This window comes from Homo sapiens, chromosome 10 (genome assembly GCF_000001405.40).
Source record: "Homo sapiens chromosome 10, GRCh38.p14 Primary Assembly".
Taxonomy (NCBI): Eukaryota; Metazoa; Chordata; class Mammalia; order Primates; family Hominidae; genus Homo; species Homo sapiens.
In genome coordinates, this window is record NC_000010.11 from 127,158,121 (window position 1) to 127,168,649 (window position 10,529).

The 10,529-nt window shown below is 42.6% G+C and overlaps 2 protein-coding genes across 32 annotated transcripts in view; one reads left to right on the forward strand and one right to left on the reverse strand.

Annotated features, from left to right (window-relative positions):
- The window catches only part of DOCK1 (dedicator of cytokinesis 1), a 547,089-nt gene that overhangs the window by 252,693 nt on the left and 283,867 nt on the right, over positions 1-10,529 (forward strand). The window lies entirely within an intron of this gene.
- The window catches only part of INSYN2A (inhibitory synaptic factor 2A), a 61,162-nt gene that overhangs the window by 22,691 nt on the left and 27,942 nt on the right, over positions 1-10,529 (reverse strand). The window lies entirely within an intron of this gene.

The following is a 10,529-nucleotide window of genomic DNA, read 5'->3' on the forward strand; positions in this document are numbered from 1 at the left end:
TTCTCCAAATAGAGATGAAACAGATAAGTTATTTCTACAGGACAGGGAACACAGAGTGCTGTTATGGAATTTCCCTATTTTTTCCTTCTCAACTTGGAAACACATCAGAAAACAGTACTTTGAATGATTCTCTATATTGCCATTGCCATAAGGAAGAACAACCTAAAAACTTTAAACTGCTAGAGCAGATTCTTCTCCAGTGACAGTAGGGCTGGAGATCTTTTGTAGATTAGAAGTTTAGAGAGGAGAAAGCTTAGGTTATTGATGTAAAACCTGCAGTGGAAGAACATTTGGATCACAAATTATAAATTTTCTGTCTTGCAGATTAATTGCTACCTTTGTAAAGCACTCTTCCCTTTTGCTTTGAGGAGCCTGTATTATATATACATAGGCTTGTAACTCCATGCGTGATACAATACCTGGTACCTTCTGGGCGTTCAGTTAATGTTGATGTAGCCAAGTCATAGAGTCCATATTTGTATTTTCATAAGTCCAGAATAACACACTTACCTATTTAAAGAATTCCAACTGAGTGTGGACAAAAACCCTGACAGGTATAAATTGTGAAAAGTTCTAGTCTTCATTTTTCTCCCCATATGAACTCCTTTGGGTGCTAATGATAAGCATGTTCATTGTAGATATGGATTTTGTGGCATTCACTATGTATCGTCCCATGGCAGTTAGTTGTAAGTATTCTCTTAACAATGCATATAGCTTGGAAAACATCGCATTCAGCACCAGGGACAGTGTTAAAAGTCCAAGGAGCTCTCTTTTTTTGGTGCTTTTGTTTTCTGTTCTGTTGACCCTCTAGCCTCCCATCCTTCTAGAACTGGGTTTTATCCCAGGGACCAATTTGGGGACCCTGGACCTCTCCTTGCTTGATGCCTTTTGAACACTCCTTGGTCAAGGTAGGCTTGCCTGTTAGAGGAGCCTGGACATGAACTGTTAATAGGGAAGCTATAAGAACATAGACTCTGCGACAGTGCATGAAAGAGAAGGTGATGCTCTGTTAGAAACAGAAGGGATCTGGACAAGCCAATTCTACAAGGTGGTTTTTGTGGAGTCCAGTTTTTGAGTCATTTACATTTCTGTTTTGTAGTGAACCACCTTTCTTCACAGGACTTTGCTCTACTTTAAAGAAAGGAAAATAAACTTGGCTTACAGAACACAGCGTGGAGCTCTAGTCAGGGCTACCTCTCTGTAATGGCCTGGACCTCTCAGGTTTAGCTCAGCATGCAGTTCCCCAGTTTCTCTAGCTACCTTATACCTTTATAATAATCGGCTCTAATTCTTCAGTTGTTACTATCAGCAATTCCTGAATGTATAAATAAATATATATACTTGTATACTTACAAGTATATAACATACCTGAATTTTTTTGTGTGTAAATACACACACATACATACCTTTGTAAATTTATTTTCAAAAGTAGTGACAATTCGGGGCATGCAGGTCTTCAGTTAATCCTTTTTGGACCAATAGCAAAAGAGGGAATATATGCACCTTTGTATATTTATTTTAAAAACTGGTGACAATTTGGGGTATACGTGTTTTCAGTTATTCCTTTTACGGACCGTTGGCAAAAGAGGGCATCACGGGTAGACATTTGAAAAGAAACAAAGAAGGGCAGGCCCATGGCAGAGCTGGTGCTGCAGTTTTTGTGACACCACTGCAGGAATGATAAAGGAGGAGGGTGGCTGCCGGCCTCAGCCTGAGAGCCGCACCATGGCCACGTCCTGGGTGGCAGGGACTCCGAGGAGCAGGGCACGGGAGGGCTGGACGGCATCTGCTCTTTCATGCTGACACCACAGGGAGATCTAAGTCAGCAGGGCCCTGGGTGTTAGGAAGGGTGTTGAGAAATGTCAGAGAAAGATCACTGCAAGCTTTCTTCCCGGCCACATATCCAAGCTCTGCTTAGTGTCTCCGAGACCTTGAAGATGGGGCCTGAGAGGCAGGACTAACAACTCTGAGGCAATCATAACAAAACATGAATTGTTTGGTTAAAAGGTCAGGAAAGAAAAAAAAAAAAAAGTCTCTCACTGTGCTGTCATTAGAAGCAAAGACCGAGAAAGTGACAAGCATCTCCTAGAGGAATGGTTAGCAAGTGGAAACTAATTTTACAGTACCTAATAGTAATTACAGTACTAGTATTGGGTTATTGGATTGATGTAAATGTGCTGTTTTTACTGCCATAGTCTCACAACACTGTTTCCTTCATAAGATCTTAAATTCTCAATGGAAAGTTCTCTTCTCACATTCCTGGGTGACTGGATGGGGCATTTGTGTGTGCCTGGTCTGGTTGCAGAGTTCAGCAGCATGCTGTGGGCCCCTCCCTGGAAGATGTGTTCAGTACTCAGTGCAGGGGAGGGCAAGTGACCCAGTTGTTGATTTGCTGCTCTTTTAAATGCCTTGTTAATTTTCAGCCAGTTCAGAGCTTCTAGCATGTCAGGGAGCAGCACGTTGGATAGTGCTGAAATCAAAGCATGACCTTCTAAGTGTGGTCTTCAAAATGTTCATTACATAGGGTATGGCAATTGTCACACTGAATCAATTCAGAGGCTGTATCCTAGGTTTACCTGTATGGACCTTAGCTAGAGATGGTGGTTGTTGCAGATATAAAAAAGGCATGGTCTCTGCTCTCAAAGAAAATGTTTTTGCCGTTAATTTATTCTCTTAAGTTTGATCTCTCTTGTTCTTTCAGTTTTCTTACTGGATGCAACAACCGTTTTTTTCTTCTGCATTCTTACCCAGGTTTGTGCACTAGCTGTCTCTTCTCGATAACTAAGCCATCATTTATGTCAGCATCTTGAAGGGCTTTTTCACTTAATAGTCTCAAAGTGACATTAATTAGAGGCATAAAATGATACCACCACTATTGCTGGGAGAAATTAAGTTTCAAAAAGTAGTAAAGGCACTGTTTTCAGTGATTCCCTCCTATGTTTGAGAGCCACTCTGAGCAGTAGATTTGGCTTGTTTCTGAATCTAAGGTCTCACCAGGAGTTTGCCAGATTATGCCCCGGACATGTACTTATTTTAGATGTCAGCTGTTTACAGCTAAAGTGGATTTAGACTTCACCATATACTCATGGAAACGCAAGTACATTGTCTTAGCATTTGAGCTGTTAAATGCTAGAATTTGAGGGAACAGCCAATTTATGGTTGCTAAAAGAATATGAAGTTGATTTTCATAACCAACTCCCAGGATCACCCCTTCATTAGTCAAAGGCGGTACTGGCTTTTGGTGATGGTTTGTCTGTTCCCTTTTTCCCAGTAGCTGATAGGACCCATCTGTCAGCCAGCATCCAACTTGCTGAAGTGAGGCTGAGCAGTTATGAGATCCTTGCTGGCCTTGGATCTCCAAGTAGACAAAGTAAGTTGTTAGTGGTAAAAACTGAAGTTGCAATTTGAAGAGCACAAATTGTGACCCTCCATACTGGCAAGGCTGTTTGGAGTACTGCCTCTGTTCTCCCCTGCTTTTGGGATGTCGAACAGGGGTGAGTGTTGACACCTCTCCAGCTGCCCGGCTGCCACCTTTTGAGAGTTCTGCTGGAGCAGCTGTTCTTTACGGATCCTTTGGCTGGCTCTCCCCCACTCTCCTCGCCTCTGCTCCATTTCCTCTGCCAGAACACCTGTCTTGCCATGTTGTCATGGCAGGCTAATCTTTCTTTGTTCGCCAGTCACAGAGGAGATGGCAAGAAAGATCTGTGGGTACATGGAATGATGAATGAAGGAACAAATGAAAAAATATAATTGAGAAGGTGTCTTTGTCTCAGATCTATGGGGGTTGGATTGACCCCTGTTCCAGAGAAACTTAGCAGCTTTTTCCTGACAGTTAAGTAAAACTCTGGAAAACTGTCTCCCATGTTTTCTGCTCAGGACGTTGATGATGGGACAGGCAGTGTCTGTGGTAGAGTTACTTTAATATAACCACCACTCATGGGTTTCGAGAACGTTAATGCGATTTGATATTGTCTGATTGGTTTCTCTTTTCTCCAGCTCTTTCGCCTGCAGATATATGTCAGGTGGTAAAGCTGATCCCATTAGCTCTCAGTATTCTCCATTTGTCTAGAATGTCTTTCTGGGGAAGGGCAAATACTTCTTTTTCAGACACCCGTGTAATCTCCCTGAATATGAACATGCATTTTCTATAGTGTTTCTTGTATACAGTTGTGTCCCAATTGATTAGTTTAAGGGAGATCTATTTTTGTCATCCCATGTGAGAACTTGGAAGTAATATATCTCTAAGAACATGATAGTTAGATCTGATAGCATTCTAATGCTGAATCTCCATATAGATTAAAGGATTTTGAGGGCTACCCTGGCAACCTCAACACAAATTACTTAGCAATGATGTTTGGAGCACAGCTAATTCAGAAGTTGAGTTGGGTCTGTCTTCATCCCATTTCTCTTTACCTTACTTTTTTTCCATGGTAGGGCAAAGTTCTCAGAATCACACACATCCCATTCCCCTAAAGCCAGGAATCGAGATTTAAACCCTGGAAGGATCACCTGTACATGTAAACTCCATGTGGTCTCATTTAACATGTCAGGATAATTTTCAACAAGCCTAGTTATTTCTACTTAGTGTTCTAATCATAGACCTTAATGGACTTTGCTACAAAGGAGCCGACATAACGAGCCGGCCTCCCCAGGCCTGCCAGTCCCAGTTCATCTGGGGCTTGCTGTGTGTCAGCACTGTGCATGGCCTGTGCTGGGGAACAGTTGCTTGGAAGAATAAAACACAGGTCTCGCCCCCAGACACTTAAAATCCAGAAGACCTTTGTTTCCAAAATGAAGGAATTCTTGATGGGTTAAGGAAGCAGAGTCACAGAACCCTGAACAGTAGCACTCCTTCCATGGGACTGTTCTAACCCGCATGCAAACCTGCATCCTTGGTCCGGGCCCGGCTTCTCTCTTCCCTCCGGGGCAGCACAGCACATCCTCAGTGCAGCACTCCCAGCACCTTGTTTGTGGCTCTCTTGCAGACCATGCCACTGTGGAATCTGATGATCAGATGCACTTTCTCTGTCCTATGGGACTGGGCATTTTGCTGGCTGGGAACATGTCTTTGTTCCTCTTCACAATCCTAGCTGATAGCTTGGTGACTTCTGCAGATCGGGGCTTGAGGTGCATCAGCAATGCCTGGTCCTTTCATGCCCAGTGAAAGTCAGTTTCCTTCCCACCTCTCCCTCCCTCCCTGCTTGAGACTTCTCCGCCACATTTATCGCCATGGAGTATACCGGGAGCTGTAGCTATTTCGCTTTCCCTGTCTCCCTCCACGAGAAGGTCAACACAATGTGGGCAGAGGTTTTTGTCTGTTCCCGGGCGGGCAAACTTTCAGTGCCCACCTCAGGGCCAGAAGTAGAGTAGATGACTGAGAAATATCTTTTGAATAATGCTTGAGTGAATGAATGAATGAGTGAATGAATGAGGAGTCTGTGTGAGTGCCCTTTTGGGTGAACTGATAACATGCCCTTTTGCTTCTGAAAGGGAAAATAGGACTCTCACAATTTTGTGATGCGTCTGTCTAAATAGTATTCATATTAGCCCATTTTAAATTTCCTCAAACAAGTAGAAAAAAGATCAGTCGTCTTCTGCTTCCGACACCCAGTTTTGAAAATAAATAGCTTAGTCTTGCACCTAAACCAGGCCCACTTCCGTGTCTGGATAAAGCCTTCCTTTTTTTTTTTTTTTTTTTGCCCTGAAGCAATCCTGGTGGACGTGTTCCAGGAAGAAACACCCTTAATGAACTCAGTGGCTTTCTTTCGATGGTGTGGACAAATTAACTTTTATTGGCCTCGCAGCTCCCCAGATGTGGTGACACTATAATTCTGGGGAGGCTCTGGCTGTTAGGGAAGTTTTAATGCTTGTTTTCATTATCAAGAATTAAAGGGTAACAATGCTGGTGGATCGTGGCAAAGCATCACAGTTAGCAGGGAGATTCCAACCTGGGTGGCGTCCCAGGGGACGCAGGGGTCAGCCGGGCTCCCTCTCCTCTCTTTCTCCCTTGGCCCTTTGTCTTCCCTGTCATTTGCCTCCTTTTTTTTTTTTTTTTTTTTTTTTTTTTTTTTTTTTTTTTTTGAGACAGAGTCCTGCTCTGTCACCCAGGCTGGAGTGCAGAGGTGCGATCTGGGCTCACTGCAAACTCCACCTCCCAGGTTCAAGTGATTCTCCTCCCTCAGCCTCTTGAGCAGCTGAGATTACAGGTGCCCGCCACCACACCCCACTAATTTTTGTATTTTTGTAGACACGGGATTTCACCATGTTGGCCAGGCTGGTCTCAAACTCCTGACCTCAGGTGATCCACCCGCCTCGGCCTCCCAGAGTGTTGGGATTACAGGCGTGAGCCACTGCTCCCGGCCCTGCCTCCTTGTTTTTGTTGCTCCTCTCTGTAGCCCTGTCCCAGCAACTTGTATGCTTCCTTTTTCACAGAGCCATCATGCATGATGAAGAAAATGGAATGCATCAGTATTTTATAGACATTATTATTGTCAGAAATACATGCAGATTTGGACAGGGACAAATACAGAGATGAACACTATTATTAAGGCAGGACTTTTTATTTTTTAGCTTTAGTGCCTTTTAATCATATTTTCATAATATAAAATCATAACATAAATATCAGGAAAGCTAGTAATTATTATTTTGTGTGTGGACTGCCTGGCTATATTATAAACAGGGCAAAGCTTACATTTTCCTTCCTTCATTCATGCAGTCAGGGAAATACTAAGTTGCAAAATGATGACAATGATACAAACAAGTCATTTGGCCCAGAAGGCACCAGGAGCAGCTATTAATAAGGAAAACAACTTTTTCCAGCTGAGGCCGAGTTGATTAACTTATTTTCCTGGAGGAGAGATAAAGCTTAAGCTATAATTTATTGAAAATTAATGAAAATGAATTTTGGTGGCACTGGCTATCAAACTAGAATGAAAATAAGAATGTGAGTATACTGTATTAAACCAAATTTTCCTTCAGGACTCCCATATTTCTTCAGCTCTTGTACTGTCACAGAGGTTCGAATTTGAAAGCATTAATGTTGTCATTTTTTGCCAGTGGTTCTGATGGTAAATATCCACAGAGTCTTTTATCTTTAATTTCTTTTGATGTGTGTTTTTAGATCAAGCTTAGTTAGCAATTTTTAATGAGAACTTATACATCTTGGAGCTTTAGTGCTTTGTTTCAAAAGCCTGACCTTGCATTTGCTTTTTAAACAAATGTCTCAGAGCTCTTGTTGCCAAAGACTAAAATCTTGAAATTTTGGTGTGATCATTTATAAATTTCTTGATGTCCAGTTATGAGACTTTGCTAGGGGGATAACCTAGTGCTGTAACCAATGACATACTGATAGAAAAAACTTTACTGCCTTTTTGGTTGAAGGATGCTCGTTGTTAGATCATTTTTTCCCCCAGGATCTCAATTTTCATGAATGTTCTTTCCAGCCTATCTTTAAGGTTTATTTTTATATTGCATTGCAAACAATGCAGTATCAAATGTTTGTTGTTCACATGGATGTGGACATCAATATGAGGAAGGAAGAGCCAGACAGGCATGTGACGGTCCTCTGAAGGACCACTGATATTACAAATGGCCTGTGAACTGGGTTCCCAGGCAGGTTCCTCAAGGAGAGACGTTGCATCCTGGCACCCAGATCCCTGGACTTAAAGATCAATGGCCTTGATTTGTCTGAAATTACTTCACAGAGAGGATTCCTGTTAATGATTACAGATCCTTCCCAATACACTTTATTTATGGGACCCTCTCAATGAGGGGATCTCTGCTGTCTCTAGCACCGGAAAGATGCTTTCTCCAGAAGATGAATTGGCATGAACCCTACCAGGCCTGGGAGGGTAGGAGCTTCTGTAGCCTTTTCAAGTAAAAGGGAAAATCCAGACTTGCATTAGCAAAAAAATTAAAAAATTTAAAAAATGCCTGCATTTTCTTATTTATTTATTTATTTTCTGAGACAGAGTCTCGCTCTGTAGCGTAGGCTGGAGTGCAGGGGCACAATCTCGGCTCACTGCAAGCTCTGCCTCCCGGGCTCACTCCATTCTCCTGCCTCAGCCCCCCAAGTAGCTGGGACTACAGGTGCCTGCCACCACGCCCAGCTAATTTTTTTTATTTTTAGTAGAGACAGGGTTTCACCGTGTTAGGCAGGATGGTCTCGATCTCCTGACCTCGTGATCCACCCACCTCGGCCTCCCAAAGTGCTGGGATTACAGGCGTGAGCCACCGCGCCCGGCCCAAAAAAATGCCTGCATTTTCATTAGTTCATGTTGGTTCCCCATTTTCAGGGGAGAGAGAAGATGAGTGGGCCGGTCTGACAGCCCAGATGTGAATTCTGGCATTAACATGTCTTACCAGCTTTTTGACCTTGGAGAAGGTACTGAGCATATCCAAGCTCTAGCTTCCTCATGGAGGGCATTCCCACCTTGGATTGTTACTCTAAAGATTAAAGAAGATAATACCAAATGGCTGGCACATTGTAGGTGCCCAAAATAGGTGACCTCTGTAGGTCATCTGTATGGGGATTCTCATTTCACTAGAACGCTCCCTCAGCTCCAGTGGGAAATAGAGCTCAAACCATTTTTGCATAGCTTAGCAGGAATTGCATGGAGTTTTTAAAATTATTTGAAAATTAGAACTTGCATTTCATTTTTTTTTTAAATCCAAATTCTGGGACACAAATCCATAAATTCCATAAATGTTCATGCCATGCCTTGAATTGCTCATTTTATCTGCAAATGGGCTGTCTGGATTGCCTAGTGGCTCGGTGGTGAGGCTTTTATTCACCTACCAACTTAAAAGGCTGAGGAGGTATTTGAAATCTATTTTGGCATTCTGCACAGGAAGATTATTTAAATTACATTTTCATGTATGTGTGATACCTACATGAAGCCCAAAGCAAGAATTTGAAATGTGTTTTATATTCTTTCAAATATATTTTGCTTTATTTTTCATATTAGAGATGGAAAGCCTTATTATTTTTTAAGAACTTAAAAGTAGTGTTTACAAAGTTATATAAATATAAGCTATAAAAAAGGCTTGCTGTGACCCTGTGAATTAAATGAAGAAAATGATAGAAAGAATATGAAATGTGCTTCCCATTTCAAAATTTCAAAGAAATGATAACTTATATTTGGGGTTTCGAACTTGAATATTCTATTGCAAATAAATAAAAGCCATTAGTTTCAACAGAAAAAGAAAAGAAAATGGCTTCCCTGAAAACAATTCAAAGGATTGCAACCTTGCAGGACAGAGACCAACTCTAGCATTTGTAGTACTGGGAGAGATAAGGAATTGATGAAGTGTCAAGAGGAAAAAGAAAACAGAACAGTGGGATCATTGCACACTTTTATTGATGGAGATCTGCAGCGAGGTTCCCCCCCGCCCCGAAACTTTTATGAATATTATAAGGCAGTGGCTGAAATTGTGATGTTCTCAGACATCTCTATAGAATATGTTCTTGGAGCAGAAAGGAGCCTCTAGGGCCTCTCCTCTCATTTGGACCATGTTCCTTTCATATCAAAAAATGTAGCTCAGAGGCTAGGCCAGGGTGAACTAAAACAAAATCCAGGTCTCCTGACGCTACATCAGCTCCCCTGCCCGTGACACCAAATGAACTGGTCCTGTCCTTTTCTCTGGAAACCACCAAGACAAAGCTTCATGTCTCCATTTAGTGATCCTCACCACCACCCCCCATCCCCAAAATACACCACCCTGTAAAATAAAGCAAGAAAATCTCTTCCCTGTGTTCAAGCTCCTCCCCTGGCTTCACCTCCCTGAATCTTAGCACTTGGAGGGTTGCTTCCCAGTAGCAAAGTAACCTCAAAGGTAGTAACTTACTGAGTGCAAACATAGCCTGAGGACTGAGACCCTCTTTGTCCATAATTCATTTCATCTCCAAGAGAAGCCCAAGAGGCAGGTATTCTCAGCTGTTTGTTACAGAGAAAAGCTGAGGTCCAGAGGGGTTAATAAGCCTGTGCACGCAGGTCAGGAGAGGGAAGGTCAGCATCTCAGGACCTGCAGAGTGGAGAGCCTGGTCACCCCACCCTATCCCTCTCCTGAATCTCACTCTGGAAAAATGGAAGAACCAAGTGCATGGGAGGCTGACCTCAGCCAGCTGGCTGGAATGATTTAAAATGTTTTGGGTTATGATAAATGTGGAGAGAGACATCGAAACTGATTTATCAAGAATATTAGAAAATGAAGTGCTGACATTTCCATGCCATTCAAATAGGGAGTGCTAAGGCACAGGAGAGCATTTGGCAGCAACAACCTTTTTGCTTCTGATCTCAGCTCAGCGCTGCTTTCTCTCTGCTGCTCACAATGCCCTGCTTTTCTGTGATGCATCTGGCCAGAGCCAGGGAACACGGCACTCAGTATTCCAGAGAAGAGCCACAAGATCATTTTCAGGACTGCAGAGGCTGTTGAGAGACTGTCTAATGTCACCCACCTCCTCTCCTCAAAATTGGGCCATTCTCAGCTAACCAGGTGGAAGACTTTGATCTCTATTAAGTGGGTAGGTT